Here is a 23,711-nt window from a genome sequence, read left to right as displayed (position 1 = left end):
CAGAATATTTCATGTGAAAAATTTAGCTGTCAATAGATGCATTTCCCCATTTCACAACCTATCTCTTCTTAAAATTTTCTTTTCATAGAAACAGCTTTACCAAAGTAAAATTTCTTACGAGATTCTTTTTTCTAAATTTCCACCAACATACACTGTCACCTTTCGTGACAAGCTTCTAGCTGGTCCAAAGGCCACAGTGTCTGACAGTAATTTGCCAAGGTACCACATTTCAATTGCTTCAGCACATTTCAATTAGGAGACCTTTGAGGTGAGAAAAAAAGAGAAATGGAGTGGGAGTCAGGTGATGCTAAAAGAAAAACAAGATGAAAGGCCAGGATAAGGAACATCTTTGGACAATGGAAAGAGGAAAAATAAACCTCACAAGAATTCTCAGGAAGACCTGGACTCTGTCTTCGACTCAAAGTAACTGTTCATAAAATGCACATGTGGGTATTCCAGAGCATTGGGTTTAAATACAAAATTTCCAAAATCCCTAAGATTATGAATGGACCTAATGTGAGTACTTTTCCAGAAGTTTTAGTCTAATAGTGAAGATGTAACTTATATTAGGCTTTATGTTTGCAAAAAGAAAAACAAAAAACGTCTTAAGCAAGAAAGGGAATTTACTGGCTTACGTAATTTGTAGTCCAGACATTGGCCTCACTTCGGTCGGCTTGAATCCTACAATGATGTCATCAGGCCCCTGTTTCTCTCTGTCTTGCTTATCTACTTTCTCCCTCTGCTGATCCTATTTGCTGGTAGGTACTCTCCTGTTAATAGCAATATATCTGCAGACTCACACAGTCAGAGCCCACATCCAGAATAAAAGAAACAATATTTCGTCTCATTAATTCTGCCTAAGTATAATTAGTTGAATAACAGTCACCCAAAGATATCAAGTTCTAATCCTGGAACAAGCAAATGCTACCGTATGAGGAAAAAGCAGTCTTCAAAGATGTGATTACTTTAAGATTCTTGACCTGGGAGATTTAATCTGAATATTGCAGATGTCCCCCAAATGCAATCACAAATGTCTTTATAAGAGAGAGGCAGAGGGAGACCCCACACACAGAACAGGAGGAGGCAGTGTGACTATTGAGGCAGAGATAGGAGTGATGGGGCCACAAGTAAAGGAATGCCTGCAGCCAACAGAATTAGCAAGGAACAGACTCTCCCCTAGAGCCCCTGGAGGGAGCGTGGCCCTCTGACAACTTGATTTTGGCTCCTTAAAACAGATTCCAGACTCCTGGCCTCCAGAAATGCAAGGGAATAATTTCAGTTACTTTATGCCACCAAGTTTGTGGTAATTTGTTGCAGCAGCCCCAGGAAATTAATACACCAGGTAATGTGAATGGTGCTGATTTGAAAACCTGAGTCACAGGGCTACTTCTGAGCCAATCGCTGCATACTGACAAGGTGGGACTGGGTTATAGCAGGCGGAGAGGTTCCCCAAAAGGAAGGCATAACTGGAAATAGATGCAGGTAGGACGAGGGGACAAAAAAAAAAAAAAAAAAAAAACAGCAGATCTTCATTTCCTGTTTCAGAGAAAACAGAAAAGTTCAAAGTTAACATTTATATGCAAGAATATTATAGTGTTATGGAACTTGAGCTTTTGTGTAGCTGTGATGATATTGCCGAGCAGCATATTATCAGGATGCACTGAGTTAATCAGGAACCACTTGCTAGGAGCAGATTTGTTTTTATTGCTGATCACTGGAACTTCTCCAAGTCTGGCACATCTCTTTTTGGAAAAGTTGTATGTTAAGATCACACATACAATTCTAAATATAAAAAAAGTGCTGTGTTATTAGGCTAGGGTAGTAATTTGTATTTATTTTCTAACATTTTTCATAATTATGTCTAAAATAATGTATTAACAGTGTTTGCTACAGTAAAAGCTATGCCAGAGTTTACGGAGTGAAGTCTATAGCCCTTTCCACACCTCTCCTTGGATTCTAACTCAGTGGCCCATGAAGGCTGTGCTCCAGGATGGCTCTGCCTCTTGTGCGGGCTTTGGCCTTGGGTAACTTACACTTTCCAATGTCAGATTCTTTATATGTAAAATGAGTATAAATGACTTTGCAGCATTTGTTTTGAGGATTATGTTTAAAAAAAAAATGTGTGACAGCATCTAACAGGGTGCCCAGCACAAAGTAAGATGCTAGAAATACTCTATTGTGAATCCATAATCCAATAAGCACAGTTTACCTCATTATTCCCTACATTTGTCTGCTTATGCTTACCAACACTGAAGCTCTTTCAATGGCTCATTTCTGCTTTAAAAGATCTGCTTGTAGCTTCCACTTGGCTCAGCATGTTGGTGCGCAGAGGAGCCTGATGTCAGGTGTGCGCTGGATGTCTTAGCATGTTCTCTCCCTTTTCAAACCTTTGTAAAATGTAAAATAAGATCAGTGTCAGTTCTGAGTCATGCAGGACTAAACCTGCTTATTTATTCCAAAACTGTTTTAGATGCTAATAAGATTTTTTTAATATGACCAGGTATCACAGCCCACCTCCCCAACCTGAGATAGCTCATTTGCCTTTGTTGTGAAACTGTCAGACTTTATTTTGAAGATTCAAATTAATAGGATCTATTAGTTATTTCTCAGCTTTTTCATTATTTACTCTAAAAAGCTGTAGTAGATAAGTCAGGCATAATCTCCCTTTTGGACATTTTGCTGGAGGGAAGAGGAAAGCGAGCATCGCTTGATGCATACGGAAGAGCAATCCCTAGTTGGGGACACATCAGCCTTGTCTCTTGTTCCTGTGAGCCAGTGATCTGCCTCTGGACTAGTCGGCAACGCAGCAGCAGCTCTGAGTTCCCAGGGACATTTGGGAAATCTCTGGCCAGGTTGGGCAGGTTTGGGGGGTTTGTATTACTTCATCTTTGCCCAGGAAATTTTAGAATTCAGTTTCAGGGATCTCAAAATCGTTTGATTGCTAGCCTTTGTTCTTTAATGAATATCTGCTTATATTCATGGTAGCTGTCATTCCAAACATTATAAACCACATCTAAAATAAATTTTACTGGGCTTCAGGGGCTTGGGGAGAAATAGAGATGAAATATAGAGAGATGACTTTTATAGATATAATTTAAACGTTTGCTAAAATTTAAATAATGGAAGCTTACTATTTAATGAGGAATTTTATCTACTTTGCATATATAATTTATAGCTTGTTGCGTATCACAAGATCTCACTCATCCTACAGGAATACTTTGCATTCTGGAAATAGGTATACTAAAACCCCAAAGCATTAGAAGTAGTGGTATTATGAACAACTTTTCATCTCTTCTTTTTTCCTAGGCACATTTCCTTAAAATTCTACATTTAATAAATGTTATGTTCATAACATGAAATATTTTGATTAATGCTTTAAAAAAATAAGAGCTTTAAAACAGAAATAGCATAACATTAAGTATTTTGATTAATGCTTTAAAAAATTAACTTTAAACAGAAACAGCAATCATGAATATGCAGCATAATGTTAGTCTTTATAGGTTAAAGCTGGAAACATATCTAATAGCAGAAAATTGTTTAATTAAAGTCTCATACATGGGTATGAGTAGAATGCAATGATCCCTTACTTAATAAGTATTTTCATTCACTTTGGGGGGAGGGAGGAAACACACTTTAAAAATTTACACAAATTTTTCTGATTATCTTGTTTTTTCATCGTTTGGTCAACAAACCATCCATTTGATTCAATTCCAATCTTCACCAAAAACTAGTACCTTCCATCTAGAACCCAGATGGAAGGCTCACATTATGAGAAGCAAGAATGATGGTAATTAAAAGAACACCAATTTACATTATCAGGGGCCTCTTCTGAAAGTCTGACATTACTACAAACAGCCAACTTGAGACTTAGATGAAAGGGTCCTTTAAATGGCGTGGAATTAATATTGTATATATCCAGAAGTATCTGGAATTTGCAAATTGATGTGAACATGATAGGGTAGAATTTCTGCAAGTATTTTATCTCTGAGGTTGGATAATAAAAATATGGTTCTAATAAAAAAGCAGGCAAAACTCCTTCAGGACAAAAAGTGATTGTATCAAGCACTGTGAATGATTGTAAAATGTGGGAACTCAATATGACCGGCGGTGGCTCACGCCTGTAATCCCAGCACTTTGGGAGGCCGAGGCGGGCAGATCACAAGGTCAGGAGATCGAGACCATCCTGGCTAACACGGTGAAACCCCGTCTCCACTAAAAATACAAAAAATTAGCCAGGCGTGGTGGCAGGCGCCTGTAGTCCCAGCTACTCCTGAGGCTGAGGCAGGAGAATGGCGTGAACCCGGGAGGCAGAGCTTGCAGTGAGCAGAGATCGTGCCACTGCATTCCAGCCTGGGTGACAGAGCAAGACTCCGTCTCAAAAAAAAAAAAAAAGATTTACCAAAGCAGTTCCGAAGGTTAAGTCCATTTCTCATGAATGAGTGACCACTCATGTGGTCACCTCATGGCGATCACCAAGTGATCAACCTGATGAAAAGGAGAGCTCTGCCTCCACCGAGGGTTCTCCTCAGGTTGTTGTCCTGGTGGCTGGGTAGAGGAATGCCCTGCTCTAGGAAGGAAGTTATCCAATGTGGTAGGAATCCAGGACCATGACTAGAGGGACAGAATCAGCCAGTTGCAAGGCACAGATAAAGACCTAGCCACGGTGATTAAAGTTTGCAGATAATCTAGGCTTTGCTACTTGAAGGCAGAATAGACCAAAGTGACAAATGTTTATACCCTATCTCCTTAAGTCTTCAAACACTACAAATAATGAGTGAGCAGAACTGAAAAGTTACAGAGCATAAATGGAACCAATACTTAATGGAATATTTATTTTCTACTTAGCCCCAATGTAAAAATTAAAGTTATATTAAAAGTACTGATGACAGTCAAAGTTTAATGTTTATAAATTTTACTTTGCTTTAGTATAGATATTTTTTAATGTTTCTGATATTTTATCCCTTTTTTTTTGTTTTGTTTTGTTTTGTTTTGAGACAGAATCTTGCTCTGTCGCCCAGGCTGGAGTGCAGTGGCTCGATCTTGGCTCACTGCAAGCTCCACCTCCCGGGTTCACGCCATTCTCCTGCCTCAGCCTCCCAAGTAGCTGGGACTACAGGCGCCCGCCACCACGCCTGGCTAATTTTTTGTATTTTTTAGTAGAGACAGGGTTTCACTGTGTTAGCCAGGATGGTCTCGATCTCCTGACCTCATGATCCACCCGCCTTGGCCTCCCAAAGTGCTGGGATTATAGGCATGAGCCACCGCACTCGGACCCCTATTTTATCCCATTTTTATACCAAGAAACTAAAGATAGGCATGCCCATTTATGCCATTATTTTTAGATAATATACATAAAAATTACAATTAGATACATCATATACTGTATTCTTGCCTTTTCCACTTGTTCTCACCTGAAAAATCTACTCAGTCGTCTGTGTAACCAAAACTAGGCCTCGTCATTCACCCAAAGAGAGTCTGGGCCACATATCAGAAATGGAGTGTAGTTAATCTTTCTTGTTTTATCAGTGTGGTCTCTAAGCCAGCAAGCCCCTTAGGAAGGGATCTAAGTAATTCATTCACTGTGCTCTTTTTAATCAAAACTAAAAGACTCAGGCTTAGAGAGAATGGCACAGAATTTTTAACCCACTCTGGCTACTCTTTACATTGTTCTTACAACCTTTCTACCAACTCAGAATCTATGCTACTTCATCAGAGCTGCAAGCCAGAAGACATTGGATGTGACATAAAAGTTCATAGTAACATGAAGAAAAATCTCCATTTGGCCATAGTTCCAAAGAGAAGCTTCTATTTAGTTTAAATATTAAAGGATATTAAACTTGGCTTCCCCATCTACCACATCTATAAAATACACATTTCCAGGCCAGGCACAGTGGTTCATGGCTGTAATTCCAGCACTTTGGGAGGCCAAGACAGATCACTTGAGGTCAGGAGTTCAAGACCAACCTGGCGAAACCCTGTCTCTACTCAAAATACAAAAGTTAGCCAGGTGCGGTGATAAGCGCCTGTAATCCCAGGTTCTCAGGAGGCTGAGGTGGGAGAATCACTTGAACCCCGGAGGCGGAGTTTGCAGTGAGCCCATATAGCGCCACTGCACTCCAACCTGGGTGACAGAGTGAGACTCTTCCCCCCCACAAAAAAAAAGAAGACACACTTCCATATTAACTTATCTTTTATGACTTTAGGTCATATTCTTTATTACTGAAATAGGTCCAGAATTACAGAACTGGTCCTAGGGAGGATCTTTATTTCTTCCTAGGGACAGAGTCTAGAACTCATATAGGGGCTTCCAGCTACAGATGGACAGAAACATCTTCAAGGCCTGTTTCAGGGATGAGTAACAGAGAAGCTCACAAATCTACCACTGAGTACATCTGCTTCCTCACGCTTCAGTTTTTCTCTAGTCTGTTGTCCACAGTCCCTTACCTTCTCTTTTCTCTCCTCATCCACGTGGCTCTGAATCAGTTTTTACCTCACAGGCATAGCTAGAATTAGTCTTCATTGCTGGGAGTGCTTGTGACTGACTCTCCCCTAAGTAAGTGATGACTATTTTTTATTTTTACTTTATTTAATTTAATTTTATTTATTTATTTATTTTTTTAAAGACAGAGCCTCACTCTGTCACCCAGGCTGGAGTGCAGTGGCACGATCTTGGCTCATTGCAACCTCCGCCTCCAGGGTTCAAGCAATTCTCCCTCCTCAGCCTCCCAAGTAGCTGGGATTACAGGGGCACACCCTCATGCCCAGGTAATTTCTGTATTTTTAGTAGAGATGGGGTTTTGTCATGTTGGCCAGGCTGGTCTCAAATTCCTGACCTCAGGTGATCCGCCCACCTCAGCCTCCCAAAGTGCTGGGATTACAGGTGTGAGCCACCAGGCCAGGCCACTCTTTTTTAATTGTTTAATTTCTTCAGGGAGACAGAACTTTATTTTCATTAAAACTTTGAAATCATCAAACAAATGAAAGGCAAAATCAGAGGATTTCTCTTTTATTATTTAATGTTATTACTTTTTGGAGGAAATCACATCCATTTCATCCTTTCTTTTTAAAAGTTCCTACTCTCTGTCTAAATATTGGGTTTTCACATAAAGATGACCATTGTAGCAGAAGACACATATATACATACAAATAACAGTAATTCAGAATGAAAAGTGATCTAAAAGAGGCATGACCAAGCACTATTGAACAAAAAGAGGGAGAAGTTAACATTACTGGAAGGAGGACAGAATAAATGAGAAAGCCAAAGCGTGGCAATTGAGGTAGGCCTTAAAGAATGGTTAGGGATATTTACATTACTATTTATCTTTGTATTTCTCTGATGTCAACATTACATATATACAACATATATGTGTATATGTGTGACAGAATATAAATAGTCAGATTTTAAATGTAAAATCTGAACAGTTCAAATGTAAAATCTGAACTGTTCTGTTTTTATCTTCCCTATTTTGCTGCACTAGAGGAATGAAACGAAAAAATTTTCCTCCTCTCATGGCAGATTAAACCCTCCCTCATCTCGAGGAAAGGGTCACTAGTTTCAGGGATTGCCAATGATTCAGGCTCTTCAGACAGTGAGCCACCAGATATGCTGTGAAAGCTCACCAGGCAGGATTGGATTAGAGCGAAAAGCCTGTGCTCTAAAGAGGGACTGGGCACTCCCTAACTGGGAGGGCACACATGCTCAGGGTTTCCAGGGCAAAGAGGACCTTCTTCCTATGCCCTGGGACTCCCTGGGGAGGTGACAGAATTCCAGAGAAGCTATATGGTATATCTTCTATGTGGTAGATTATAGAGTGTGTATTAACCATGTCTTTTAAATCTATATTTTTAATTATCTGACATCTTGAGGCCTTGCTGACTGGGAACATCTGGATTTCCAGGCAGAAGTGTGCTGCACAGGTGGAGTCCTTATGGAGAACCTGTGCCAGGTCAGTGCAGAAGGGAAATGTAGGGTTGGAGCCCCCACACGGAGTCCCCACTGGGCCACTGCCTAGTGGAGCTGTGAGGAGAGGGCTACCATCCTCCAGACCCCAGAATTGTAGATCCCTCAACAGCTTGCACCATGTGCCTGAAAAAGCGGCAGGCACTCAATGCCAACGCATGAAGGAGCTGCCCAAGGCTGTGGGAGCCACCCCTTGCTTCAGCATGCCCCAGATGTGAGACATGGAGTCAAAGGAGATCATTTTGCAGCTTTAAGATTTAATGACAGCTGGGTTTCAGACTTGCATAGGGCCTGCATTCCCTTTGTTTTGGCCAATTTCTCCCATTTGGAATGAAAGCATTTATCCAATGCCTGTACTCCATGGCGTCTTGGAAGTAAATAACTTTCTTTTGATTTTACAGGCTCATAGGCAAAAGGAAACTGCCTTGTCTCAAATGAGACTTTGGACTGTGGACTTTGGGTTAATGCTAAAATGAGTTAAGACTTTGGGGGACTGTTGGGAAGGCATGATAAGTTTTGAAATGTGAAAAGACTTGAGATTTGGGAGGGGCCAGGGACAGAATGATGTGTTGGCTCTGTGTCCCCACCCAAATCTCATCTCACGTGTAATTCCCACATGTCGAGGGAGGGAGGTGATTGGATCATGGGGGCGGTTTCCTTTATGCTGTTCTCATAATAATGAGTGAGTTCTCATGAGATCTGATGGGTTGTTTTTTGTTTTTTGTTTTTTTGTTTTTTTGAGACAGAATTTCACTTTTGTTGCTCAGGCTGGAGTGCAATGGTGTAATCTCTGCTGACTGCAACCCCCGCCTCCCAGGTTCAAGCAATTCTCCTGCCTCAGCCTCCTGAGTAGCTGGGATTACAGGCGTCCACCACCACGCCTGGCTAATTTTTTGTATTTTTAGTAGAGATGGGGTTTCACCATGTTGACTAGGCTGGTCTCAAACTCCTGACCTCAGGTGATCCAACCGCCTTGGCCTCCCAAAGTGCTGGCATTACAGGTGTGAGCCACCACACCTGGCTGATCTGATGGTTTTATAAGTGTTTAGAAGTTCCTCCTTCATTCTTCTCTCTCCTGCTGCCTTGTGAAGAAGGTGCCTGCTTCCCCTTCCACCATTATTGTAAGTTTCCTGAGGCCTCTCAAGCCATGCAGAACAGTAAGTCAATTAAACCCCTTCCTTTATAATTACCCAGTCTCAGGGAAGTTCTTTATAGCAGTGTGAAAACAGACTAATAAACTGACCCTGCAGGGACTGACTCTCCCAGGGCTAGCCAATTCCTAAAGATAGTAAATGACTCACCTGCAGGCATATCTTTCATATGCCAACTGTTCCCTATCATCCTGAAGCAGCTGGGTTGACAAAATGGTGGAATGGGTCACAGTTACACCACCAACTAGGTGACAGTACTTTACAGGGCCGGGAGCAAATTTCTCCAGAAGGCTGTGTATGCTGTGTATCAGTGTCCCATATGTGGTACTGTTTCTCCCATAGCCAGGATTCATGGGTCCGGGAATCAAGGGGTGGAAGTGGAAGTGGCACCACTTACCATCACCCCTAGTGACCCACTAGCAAAATTTTTGCTTCCCGTTCCTGTGACATTACATTCTGCTGGCCTAGAGGTCTTAGTTTCAGAGGGAGGGATGCTGCCACCAGGAGACATAACAATGATTCCATTAAACTGGCAGTTAAGATTGCCACCTAGCCACTTTGAGTTCCTCCTATCTCTAAGTCAGTGGGCTAAAAAGGGAGTTACAGTGTTGGCTGGGGTGATTGACCCAGACTATCAAGATGAAATCAGTCTACTACTCCACTCTGGAAGTAAGGAAGAATAGGCGTGGAATATAGGACACCCTAAGAGCACTTCTTAGTATTACCATGCCCTGTGATTAAGGTCAATGGGAAGGTACAACAGCTCAATCCAGGCAGACTACAATTGGCCCAGACCCTTCAGGAATGAAGGTTTGGGTCACTTCACCAGGTAAAAAACCATGATCTGCCAAGGTGCTTGCTGAAGGCAAAGGGGATACAGAATGGGTAGTAGAAGAAGGTGGTCATCAATACCAGCTATGACCATATGACCAGTTGCAGAAACAAGGACTGTAATTGTCATGACTGTTTCCTCCTTATTTTAAGAACATGTTTGTGCATGTATACACTTGTACTAAGAAAACATCTTCATTTTATTTCCTTTCTTTTTCCTTTATCATGTGACGTAGATATTTATTGACTTCATATCAGCATTTAAGTATTGTTAACTTTATGTAATAGCATTTGGGTTGGGGATTGGTGCATTTCCAGTTGTGCAAAGGATAGCTGTATTATGTTAGGCATAATTATGACCTTATTATTGCCTTTATTTGAAGATTATGTATGATTTCAGAAAATATGTATGGGTTCAAGTTGACAAGGGTTGGACTTGTGATGGTTAATAGTAAGTGTCAACTTGACTGGATTGAAGAATGCAAAGTATTGTTCCTGGGTGTGTCTGCCAGGCTGTTGCCAAAGGAGATTAACATTTGAGCTAGTGGACTAGGAAAGGCAGATCCACCCATAATCTAGGCGGGCACCATCTAATCAGCTGCCAGCATGGCTAGGATAAAAGCAGGCAGAGGAATGTGGAAGGACTAGATTAGCTAAGTCTTCTGGCCTCCATCTTTCTCCTGTGTTGGATGCATCATACCCTCGAACATTGTACCCTCGAGCAAAAGCTGAAGACTCCAAGTTCTTCAGCTTTTGGACTCTGAGACTTACACCAGTGATTTACCAGGGCCTCTCAGGCCTTTGGCCACAGACTGAAGGCTGCACTATGAGCTTCCCTACTTTTGAGGTTTTGGGACTTGAACTGGCTTCCTGGCTCCTTGTCTTGCAGAGGGCCTACTGTGGGAGTTCATCTCATGATCATGTGAGTCAATTCTCCTAATAAACTTCCCTTCATATATACATCTGTCCTGTTAGTTCTGTCCCTTTAAAGAACCGTGACTAATACACCAACCATCCAATCTGGAGTCTATACCCCCAGCCACCTCCTTTATGGAATCTTATACTCTGGCTCACTATTCCCCTTTCCTAATCACTCCAAGGCCAGGTACAAGACAACTAGTGGCAAACTTTGTGCCCCAGAGCCCTGAAATTGTTCAAACTAGAAAATTCTTGACGTGCTTACCCTGCCTTGCTTGTTCCTTCCCACAGAAATAACAATAAATAATAAATGCTCTTGCCCATGTTCTGTCCTCACTTCCTCTGTCTCCTGACCAACCTTCTGCTTCCCACCGTGGCCCTATGTGGGGTGCCATGCCTTCTGCTTCTAGGAGAAGCAAAATCTGGCATAATTGGAGACTTCAATATCCCATTTTTGATAATGGATAGAACAGTTTGGCAGAAGATTAAAAGGAAATCAAAGACTCGAGCAATATTGTAAGCCAACTAGACTTAAAAGATATTGGTAGGGGCCAGGCACGGTGGCTCACGCCTATAATCTCAGCACTTTGGGAGGCCCAGGCAGGCAGATCATGAGGTCAGGAGATCGAGGCCATTCTGACCAACATGGTGAAGCCCCATCTCTACTAAAATACAAAAAATTAGCCGGGCGTGGTGGCACATGCCTGTAGTCCCAGCTACTTGAGAGGCTGAGGCAGGGGAATCACTTGAACCAAGAGGCAGAGGTTGCAGTGAGCCAAGATCACGCCACTGCCCTCCATACTGGACAACAGAGCGAGATTCTGTCTCAAAAAAAAAAAAAAGAAAGAAAAGAAAAGAAAAAAAGCCATTGATAGGATATTCCACCCAACTACAGAGGGGTACACATTCTTTTCAAGTGCAATTATAGGATTCTCCAAGATGGACTATGTGTTAGGCCATAAAAGAAGCCTCAATAAATGTAAGGATTGAAATCATACATAAAATATTTTCCAATCATAATAGAGTTATATCCAAAATCAATAACAGAAGGAAATCTGAGAAATTCACAAATGTGTGAAAATTAAATACCCTCCTTTTCTTTGAGACAGGGTCTTGCTCTGTAACCCAGGCTAAACGCTGTGGCATGATCATGGCTTACTGCAACCTCCAACTCCCAGACTCAAGTGATCTTCCTACCTCAGCCTCCTACATAGCTGGGACTACAGATGTGTGCCATCACGCCCGGCTAATTTTTTTATTTTTTGTAGAGATGGGGTCTTGCTATGTTGCCCAGGCTGGTCTTGAACTATTGGATTCAAGTGATCCTTTTGTCTTGGCCTCCCAAAGTGCTGGAATTACAGGTGTGAGCCACCACCACTGGCCTAATAATACATTTTTAAATAATCAATGGTCAAAGAAGAAATCACTGGGAAATTAATTTTCACATGGAAGAAATTAAATTTTTCATTCAATTCAAAAATTATTTGAATGAAAATTAAACCACAACATCCAAAACTTATGGCATGCAGTTAAGACAGTGCAATGCATAAAGGGAAATTTATAGCTATAAACACGTATATTTAAAACAAAAGAAAGATCTCTAGTCAATAACTTTAACATTCACCTTAAGAAAACAGGAAAAGAGAAAACTAAACCCAATGCAAGTAGAAGAAAATAATAAAGATTAAAGCACAAATGAATGAAATAGGGAATAGAAAAACAATAGAGACATCAACAAAACCAAAAGCTGGCTCTTTGAAAAGATCAACAAAATTGGCAAATCTTTAGCTAGACTGACCAGGATTTTTAAAAGGCAGACTGAGAGAAAGAGAGAGAGAGACAGAGAGAGAGAGACAGAGAGAGAGACAGAGACAGAGAGAAACAGGGAGCGACAGAGAGAGAAGACTCAAAGTGCTAAAACCAGTAGTGAAATAGGGGGCATCACTACTCTTCTTATAGAAATAAAAAAGGATTTTAAGGAAATACTAATGAAGAACTGTATGCCAAAGGAACCATGGGGTGGCTGACAATAGATGACCCAGTGGGAACCAGTATGAACAGATAATTACTGACAAGAGGGATCCTCCTCTTATCCACACACACTTACACACCTTGACACAGTAATTTAGGTAGAATTACCTGCTGGACAGGGCTGGTGCTTAGAGGCTATGTTAGGCTGAGTAACAGAAAATAAAGAATTACAATATTCCTCCTACATTTGAGACTCATACCTACTTCATTATTTTAACGTGTGAAAATATAGGAAATCTCAGATAATAAAATTAAGATCACTCATAATAACATCTAGAGAGATAGCCATTATTATTATTATAAAGTATCTACTTCTCTCCCTACTTATATGTTGTATGTAGAAATATCAGATATAATTTTATTTTCCAGCATTCAGCTTAATTTTTATTCTAACTCTTAGTCTACGGGTAGCAAAAACAAATCTCAGCCAATTCATGGTTTCCCCCCAGGCCTAGGCTTGCATCTAAAACTTCCAAGGAGCTTGCATGGATTTACATTCCTACCTGCCTGCTTCTCAGCTTCTGATCTATGCAGGAATCCTGACCACATGGTCTCTCCAGGTCTGATTATCTCTCAGGAACCTTGGACAGGCTGATCGTGTTGCTCTGGAGTTATGGAAAACTCTTAGAGTCTACATTCTTTCACCACAACTGTGCTATTCTCGGGGATGGGGAAATCGTGCTCTCTACTGCTGCTGGACCATCAGGAATGTGGCCTGGATTCCCCATCCAGATGTCTCTTCTGCTTCTGCATTTATTGGGCATGGAGAAAATCTGAGACCTTTCCGTTCTTCCAGCTTTGGTTCTGACTTGGGGACACAGGTCCCTTATGATGTCAGATCTCTAAACCACTCTAGGAGTATTATCATAATCATTTTATTGTATGAAAGAAGTATAATTTATTTAACCATTCTCTTGTATATTTAGATTACATTAATCCTTTATGAACATATATTATGTGGTCTTGAATATCTTTGTAATGAAAGGTTTATCCATATCCATTATTAACAGAAATTCCTAGAAGGGCAATTTATGTGTCAAAGAATATGCATGTTTTTAGTCTTTTCTATATTTTGCCAAATCACCCTCCAGAAATGTAACAAATTACTTCTCAGCAACAGTGGATAAGAATTCTTACATCCCCACACCATAGATTTGGCAACAAATTAGTTACACAGGGCATAGCTTGCTATATATTTGCACACAATGTCCATATGCTGTTCATGACTCCAAAATAAAAAATATGTTTTGATAATTTGTAATCACTGGAGAACCGCTCATATAGCTAAGGGTTGAAATGATTCTTTTAAAGCTAAAAAATAAGATTATTCATGAAACATGTGACTAAGAGATCACTTCTTGGCAGAGCTTCAACAGGTTAATGACCCGCTTTTTTTTTCTGCTATTCATTGAGTACAGAATTTTTTTAAGTCTGTAATAACAATAATTGTTGACTGTGGTGTGCAGAATGGCCCCCCAAAGAAGTTCACACTCAGTTTTCTGGATCCTGTGAGGATGCTATATTAAATGGCAAAAGACATTTTGTGGATAAAATTAAGGCTAGAGACCTTAAAAGAGGGTGGGCCCTATTCTGAATTATCCAGATGAGGGGAGATCAGAGAGGTCTGAGAGTGAGAATGGTTAATGCCCTGTTGTTGGCTCTTGTATGTAGACGCCCACATGCAAGGACCAGAGAGACACCTAGGAACTCAGGGAAGCCCCCAGCTGGCAGCCAGAAAGGATATGAGGATTTCAGTCCTACAACCGTAAGGAACTGGATTTTGCCAACAGCTTGAATGGCTTCCAAGTGGATTCTTTCCAGAGCCTCCAGATAAGAGACCAGCCAGCTGATACCTTGATTTCCACCTGTACTTCTGACCTATATAACTGAGTCAATACATTTGTGTTGTTTAGGCTTCTAAATTTGTAGTATCAGTTGCCACAGTGGTAGGAAATTCTTACATTTACTGAATAAATAAATGATAAATTATAAATTAAGTAAATGCATGAACAAATGAATTAAAGGTGATTTCAGAGTGGAAATTATTATATTCCTTCCCAAAAGACCCAGTGGAATCATAAGTACAGTTAATCCTGAAGGTCCTTAGAATATATTGTTTCACTTTGCTGATTCATGTCAGTTTTGTTCCATCTACAGCTTCTGAAGGAGACGATAACATGAGGTAGCCACCATCTCTCCTGCTGTGAGAATATTTATTATAGTGTTCAGTGACTGTTTTGTGCTTTGATTTCCCATGATTATCATTTGAAGAATGTGAACACTTCACATCCGGCACACGAACTATTACTGTTCTTAACCGGTGAATTCAGAAATAATCACCTGCATACATTAAATTTTTTCCCAATAGATATTTACTAAACTCCTGCTCTGAGTGTAGTTTTCTGCTAGGTTCTGAAGCTATTACAAAAGAAATGCAGATATGTCCCAAATTAAAAACTGGTTTATGTTCCAGAAGGTTTATTTCCAAGTTAGAAGTTTCTCACTTAGAACATGTTTTCACATACAGGCCATACTAAAAACATTGACTCTGTAAATAAACCAGCCCACAAAAGCCCATTTAACTCAAAATTTACTTGAACTGATAATAAAGGAATTTAACTATATTTAAACACGTATTTTCTATGGCAAAATAAATTCAGTTTTCCAACTTGCAGTGTTAGAGCCGCAACGTCCTGCCAAGAAGAACTAGTCCTTTAGCGGTGACATTAAGGATCAGAGACAACTGAAACATGGAGGAGACAGTCCTGTATTTTTAAAAATCATATGTTTGACCACCTTTTTGTCTTGTTTTTAGTTCTCTGTATCAGGAATGCCTGTTATCCTTATGTTGGATCATCTTGTTCTCTCTTCCATGTCTACCGCCTTCTCTCCAGTTGCATTTACTATATCCAGATTTTCTAATTATTATTGTTAAATCTTGCCATCTGTCATCTTAGATATTTCTTCTCCTAAAAGCTCTAATTGAGAGATAAATGGCACTTAGCTTCACAGAGAAGTCAGTGCTCAGATCCAGAACTGAAGTTTCCTTAACTTTTCATGTGTTATTATTAATAAAGGTAATGCTACTCAGTTAGAAATTATCTGTGATCTTTAAGACACACCACCCACATCCATGTAACATTTTTCTACAGTTCATTTTCCATGAACTGTTTTACTACTCAGGTTGTTAGATAATTTATGTAAAATCGTATATATGGTGAGATGATATGGTATGGATATAAATATCAACTACAAATAAGAGTTAGTGGTATAGGTAATAACTATTTCAGGAGTTAATAAAATGGGGAACTCAGTTTGTCCTTAATTCAACCATTCAATAATCCCCAAACACATGGGTGGTTTTCTTGCTGATAACTGTATTTCTTCCCTGTAAACGCCTCTTCTCTCATCTTTTCTGTCTCTGTATGTTTAAATCTTTTCCACTTCTATGGCCCAGCACATGCACACACTTTCTAGGAAGGCTTCCCTGGCTGCCCATCCTTAGGTAATCTGTTCTTTCTCTCATTTCCCGTAGCCATTCATTGCTACTTTTCTTATGACACAGAAACATGAAACTGGATAGGTGTGTTCAGGAAACTGCAAGGATGGACTTTGAGAAAACCAGTTGTTGAATGACTGAGGTAAGTTTAGATTTATATAAAAGAAAGAAGCAGAGAGAACATTTTAGACATGGTGAAGACGATTAGAGATGATGAACAAAGGCAGAGAGGCTGGAAGTCAGAGGCTGGCTTTATGGAAAAAGAGGGTTCCTATTGAAAATGGCAGAAGGTAAAATGTTAAAAAGGAGTTGAGGAGCAGATGGTGTAGGACCTTTCCCAATGCCTCAGGGATGAAGAGTTTGGACTTCATCCTGAAAACAACAGGGGGCCATCGGAATGCATTGTTAAAGTGGGCATTTAGGGAAATTAATTTGGCAGCAATATGTAAAATGGATGCAGGGAGCTTATTAAAAAGATATTTTGGTAATATGAGGATAGCAGGTACAAATTTTAAAGGCCCTACTCAAGTATGCAACAATAGCATAAATAAAACCCATAACTGTCCTATAATTCATTTCTCCAGCACTGTTTCCATTCGAATTGCTGCAGAAAATTTAGTCTAGTCACTTCCAGGTAAAATGAGTCCAATTCTGCATTTTCTCAGGGTTTTGAACTCCATCAATTCAAGAGGGTGTGGACAGGGTAGGAAGGTAGGAGTGAGAGACATTTGTTTCAGCCCTAACGCTATGGTGGAGGCTGTTTCCAGAGTCCCCATCTTGTTTGTCCTTTGTGTAGGACACATGAGAGGCCCCTCAGACCCAGGCTGGAGGTCATGGGAGCAAAGGCGGCCTACACAGACTCCTCCTTAGGAGAGGTTCCCTCACGATGGCTGGGAGACACTTTGTAGGTCCTTGTCTTAAATAACCTGGGTTCCCTCTCGGAGGGCCACGGGAACTTTTCCACTCCGTCAACACCACTCCAGCCCATGGGCACTAGGCAAATTGTCTCCAGCAGACACGCAAGTGGGAGCCACACTGCCATTTTTTCCCGCAGCTGCTTCTCCATGACTGCAGGGCGGCCGGTGCAGGTTTCTCTGCACATTTCACTGTCTGCTGTCTTCCAGTCCCACTGTATCAGAAGAACTTTCTTTCCATGGGTCTCTAAAGTTAACTAAGGGGATCTATTCTGTCCCCTCTCAGGGCTCATCCTGAGGAAGCAGAAGGCAGGGCACATGCTCCCCACACATACATTTAACTCTCTCTCTTTTTCCTTGCCAAACCCTCCCCTCATTTTCCTCTTTTCCAGCTTAGAGATTCTTCTTTTTCTAGTCTAGCTAAGAGAGTCTTTCCTGTGGATCCAAATCTTTCAGTATTACCCCAAGACCAGAGACTTTTGAATTTAAGGATCAGGCATCGGTTGCCTTTGCTGCCTTTCGTGGCTTCTGTGGGGACCATGGGTGTCTCTGGCCTCCCTCTCTAATTGGGGGAAGGGTCTTAGGAAAAAAATGAATGATTTAGGTGAGCATAGGAGCAGGCGTGGGTATTTTGAAATACTTTTTTGCCACATAATAATGATGTCCTCAGGGCCTAGACTAGGGAGACAAAAAAATAAGAAGGAAAAATCCATTGGACTTGAATGGAATATTAAAAGTAAGATAGAGATAGAGAATTTGAAGAACGTTTTCAAGATTTTGAGCCTGAGCGAATGGGAAATGAATGACATTGAGGGATAAAACAAGAATGAGAGAGTGACAAACTAGGTGCACTACTGAACCTGGGTGACAGCAGCATGCTGAGCAATACAACACTATGGAATGCACATTAATTTTATTAGGGATTTAAGAAAAGCAGGCTCTGGAGGAGCAATTCCCCTGATCCAGCTCACTAAGAATGGTTTGGAAATGAGCATATCCATTCATTAGTGTACCCTGGGGATTGTAACTAACAGGATGACTATTAGTGGTGACCACTGGGCCACCCAGATGGGAGCTGGTGCTTGGCCAACGGTTAAATGAGGTGGTTCATCAGTGAATATAGAATAAGAGCAGACAGATGATTGGCTGTAATTAGGGGCTGTCCAACTATAGAATAAGATGAATTTGCCGTTCTTGGTCCTAAGAATATTTCTAAGATACGTAAAAGTCTTTAGAATCAGAGCATTTCCTCTGCTAGAGAGTGTGAGTACACACTGACAAATTCTACTGTACCATTCATTTTCTATATTCTTTATCTGTCATCCCAAACCTCTGTCATTTCCTTATGACAGTTTGCAATTTCTTAAATTACTGCTAATCTTCCACTAGTTACATTTTAAATTGACGACTTCCCTTTTAAGGAAGCATACTAGACCCCTTGGTGAGACTTAGAAAGCACCCTCAAATTGCTAGCAATATGCTTGTGAATCATCTCTTGGGTGGCTTATTTCCTGGGATGATTTCTGCAGATGGCTAATCTTACCCATTTTATGTTGATTTCTGTTAGTGCTAACCCCTAAGCATGGCAATATCGGATTGTCCTGATTTTAGCTTATACATTTTTGTTGTTGCTATTCCTTAGCCTTCCTTTCTAAATTTTCATCTTTCTGGCATCTTCTAGAATTTAAAAGGAAGGTGATGGGGTAGCGTTGAATCCCATTTGGGATATACTGATAATTTGATATGTATTCCATATTGAGCTAATTAGAATAAAAATATATGAACTGTAGAGACTTGAGGGGGTCAAGGCATAATACTTTTTTCTTTCCTTTCCTAGTTTTTGTCTTCCCCAATGAAGAATTAAAACCCAGACACTGGGCAAATGGAGATGAAAAGAAAAAGCTTTATTACTCTGTCCCAAGTGCTTAGAACAGTGCCTGGAACATAATAGGTACTTAATAAATATTTGGTGGATGAACGAATGAGTAAAAGTTGGATTGGGCTGGGTGCGCGGTGGCTCACACCTGTAATCCCAGCACTTTGGTAGGCCGAGGCGGGTGGATCATTTGAGGTCAGGAGTTCAAGACGAGCCTGGCCAATGTGGTGAAACCCCATCTCTACTAAAAATACAAAAACTTAGCCACGTGTGGTAGCAGGCACCTGTAATCCCAGCTACTCAGGAGGCTGAGGCAGGAGAATTGTTTGAATCTGGGACGCAGAGGTTGCAGTGAGCCAAGATCGTGCCACTGCACTCCAGCCCAGGCGACAGAGTGAAATTCCATCTAAAAAAAAAAAAAAAACTGGATTGAAGAACACAGCTTACTGTAAAATCTAATTGACTTCCTAATAATTTACTCCAGAATTAAACTCACCCATCCCCTCCTGGCAGACATGGACAGCCCCAGACCTCATCTGTGGTGTTGAGAGAGCAAGCAAGAGCCCCCCTAGCAGGCAGCCACGTTTCTTCCTCTCAAGGGGAGGAGTTAGTGAGAAGGTGGAGAGTGGCTGGAAAAATTATTCTGAGGGGAAGCCCCCTCATGGAACAAGAGAGCATGGGATGAATCCTCCTTTATAACATTCCCAGATTTTGGCTCTTTTAAATCATGGAAACAAGTAGTTGAATATATAATCAAACAGAAACTGCCCAACATTGGGGAATACAGGAAAAGAATTAAACTGAGAAGCTTTTTCTCCATTTTTTTAATTGTGGTAAAATATATGTACCATAAAATTCACCACCATCTTAACCATTCTTTCTTTTTTTGAGACAGAGCCTGTCATTCAGGCTGGAGTGTGGTGGCATGATCTCCACTCACTGCAACCTTTGCCTCTAGGGTTCAAATGATTCTCCTGCCTCAGCCTCCCAAGTAGCTGGAATTACTGGCATGCACCACCACACCCAGCTAACTTTTTCTATTTTTATTAGAGACAGGGTTTCACCATGTTGGCCAGGCTGGTCTCGAACTCCTGGCCTCAAGTGATCCACCCGCCTTGGACTCCCAAAGTGCTGGGATTACAAGAGTGAGGCACTGCACCCGGCCACCATTCTTAACTATATAGTTCAGGCCAGGCGCGGTGGCTCATGCCTGTAATCCCAGCACTTTGGGAGGCCGAGGTGGACGGACCACGAGGTCAGGAGATCGAGATCATCCTGGCTAACACGATGAAACCCCATCTCTACTAAAAATACAAAAAATTAGCCGGGTGTGGTGGTGGGTGCCTGTAGTCCCAGCTACTCGGGAGGCTGAGGCAGGAGAATGGCGTGAACCCGGGAGGTAGAGCTTGCAGTGAGCTGAGATCCTGCCACTGCACTCCAGCCTGGGCGACAGAGCAAGACCCCATCTCAAAAATATATATATATATATAGCTCAGTGCTGTTAAGTACATTTATTTTGTTGTGCAACCATCACCACCATTCATCTCCAGAGCTCTTTTCATACTGCACATCTGAAACTATATACTCATTTGATAATAACTTCCTATATCTCCCTGCCCCTACTCCCTGGCAACCACCATCCTACTTTCTGTCTTTAAGAATTTAACTATGAGAGAAGGAGATTTTTAAAAATCAGCATTATCACAAATAAATGCTGGATTGGAGGACAAAGCTTAGATGTGTGGACACAATAAGCTTCTTAGCTCTAAATAACTCTTCAGAATTAAGTTCACTCTACTACTTGCCAACCACAGATTCCTCCCATCCCATCTGCCTCTCCCACCCAGGCTGCTGGAAGCTTGGGTGGAGTCAGACCCCTCTCTGAGCAGGCAGACCTTGAGGAGGTGCCCAGAAAGACCTGCCCCATCTCCAGGAGGATGTGACAACTCTTTATAGGAAGGAGGAAATGGGGTGGAGATGAGAGAGGCCAGGAGTCTTCCTTTGATGGAAAGCCCTTCATGGGATCATAAGGTCAAAGAATTTCAGAAAATGTGGAAAAACAGCCCAGAAATTTAATCTTCCTCTCACACTAATCACTGTCCAACCCCAAAACAGGAAATCCAAAGCTATGACAATTCAGGAGGACGATGGCAATTAGCTGGAAGTTATATCACTGTAGCGTCAAGTTTATCCACCTAAAATGAAAAATAAAAGAAACTGCCTTACAAGTTTATTACAGACAACTTTCATATATGTTTGTTTCTAAGTTGATTTTTTTGGTATTACGGAAAGAGTGGGTAAAAATTCTACAATCACAGGCTAAAGAGACTATTATCCCCAAGAAATCACTTTGCCAACCCAAAGTGAATCATTGGCCTGTGTCAGCTGCTATCTAGATAAACGATGTTCAGACATTTCCAAAAATCTGAGACAGAGCTGGGGGAGGGAGAGGGGATGAGCCAAGTAGCTTTCTCTTTCACTATTAGAACTTGCAGGCATTTCTTTCCTAACAAGAATGGTTCCTGTTTTGTCTCAGAGTAATAGACACCCAAAATGCTTCCTAGCACTAATTTTCTCTCAAAGTTGTTCAAAATTTTGGCTGAAGCTGAAGCCAACAAAAGATGTACTAGTAAAGGGCACTTGGTGTGGTCCTGTGAAGCAGAGAACATCAATGAGGCGTTTTCACCACAAGAAGCATTGTCTCTATTTTATTAAACATCCTGCTTCTATTACCAACACACTGAGAAAGGCAAATAATGCAGGCATTTGGGTTTTGGTTAACTTTAAATGGCTGTGAATTTTTTTTCTGAACACCTTCTTGAAGATTTTTTATACTTGCATAAGTTAGAATTCAGGGATAGTATTAGGTTGGAAACCTGACCAAGCAGCAGTTGGAGGACTGACTTTCCTGGGAAAATGCCAAATGCCTGAATCTGTCAGACAAATACTCCCATAGGTATTTCATCAGGTCTCCCCAGGTTTTGCTTCTGTTTTTGCAGGACTGCATGACATTCAGCATTCCAAGAATCTTAAAAAGAATAGCCATGTTGTTCAAGCTGTGATGTAAAAAAAGTATTTTGCCTACAGGGAGAGCTGCTCCCATGAAATCCACTCTTGCAGGCCACCCATGGTTTCACAAAACGATACTTCTGACAGGTGGCCCTTAAATATAGTTCTTATACTTATGATACATGATATTTTGTCTTAAAACATGATATTTTGTCTTTAAACAGAAACCAGTGCTTTACACCTTGAACACTAGCCTGGGACAATAAGAGTTCCTGCCCAAGACCTACTTTAGGAAGAACCAAGTCGAATTCACAGCTTCTCTGCTCTTAGGTGCAGGCTCTGTTCTCTTCCCTGACAATGATGCTCTGTGTGACTCTTTGTTCATTTCCCAGGATGGGGAGGGAGGAGACAGCACAATCAGATAGGGAAGGCCCCTCTGGGTGACCCTCATTCCATCCAAAAAAGCAGTGTTCCACTTCCCTCAGCTCCCTTATTCCGCTTGCCTTAGGGCCTGCCTATTGCCCTTGCCTTAGGGCCTGCCTATTGCCCTTTGAGTCATTCTTAAGAAAACCATAGAAAGCTGCGAGGGAGCTGACCTGTTGGATCCCACCAGCAGATGCATGTTGCTGCTATCAGCCTGAATTTCAGAAATCTCCAAGGCAAATCTTCTTGCTAGGCATTTTATTATTTATAAAAGTTCTGACACATTTTTTACAATTGCCCTTCTGAAAGAGGTTATTTCACCATTAATGGACTTTTTAAGCTGATCTGCAATTCAGCTAAATAAATAAGTAGTGAAGAAGGGCAGGCTCAAAACACATTACTCTTCACAGGAATTAAATTAGTGCTTTGAAAATTTCAGCTTTTAGAAGGGTGTTCTTTGCCTTTCTGTAGTCTACTAAGCTGGGACCAAGAATCATAAATAAATTGAAGTAATACATTGAGAACATTGTTTCACTTGAAGATGTATTTTTTCCCTAGACTTGAAGGTATTCCTTCTTTTGCATATCGTTAAAAGTTTCCATTTAATATGAATATTACACTAAAGGAATCTATGTACTTGGGTCTGGGCTACTTTCTGTTAACCATTGTTGAGGTATGTGACCTTTATCTATGGGAAGCTGGAATAGCACCACACTCTCAGTAAAAAGAACAGCAAAACTTTGCTAGTTTACATAGTTTCTGTGAATATCAGTTTCCTTATTTCTTTTCTTTTTTTTTTTTTTTTTTGAGACAGGGTCTCGCTCAGTCACCCAGGCTGGAGTGCAGTGGCACGATCTCGGCCCACTGCAACCTCCACCTCCCAGGTTCAAGCAATTCTGATGCCTCGGCCCCCCTTGTAGGACTTGTAGGTGGGACTACAGGCAAGCACCACCCAGCCTGGCAAATTTTTTTGTATTTTTAGTAGAAATGGGGTTTCACCATGTTGGGCAGGCTTGTGTCGAACTCCTGACCTCAAGTGACCTTCCCACCTCGACCCCGCAAAATGCTGGGATTACAGCCGTAAGCCACCGCTCCTGGC

Source organism: Homo sapiens, chromosome 18, assembly GCF_000001405.40.
Source record: "Homo sapiens chromosome 18, GRCh38.p14 Primary Assembly".
Taxonomy (NCBI): domain Eukaryota; kingdom Metazoa; phylum Chordata; class Mammalia; order Primates; family Hominidae; genus Homo; species Homo sapiens.
The sequence above is the reverse complement of the archived record's forward strand: the minus strand, read 5'-3'. Positions refer to the sequence as shown.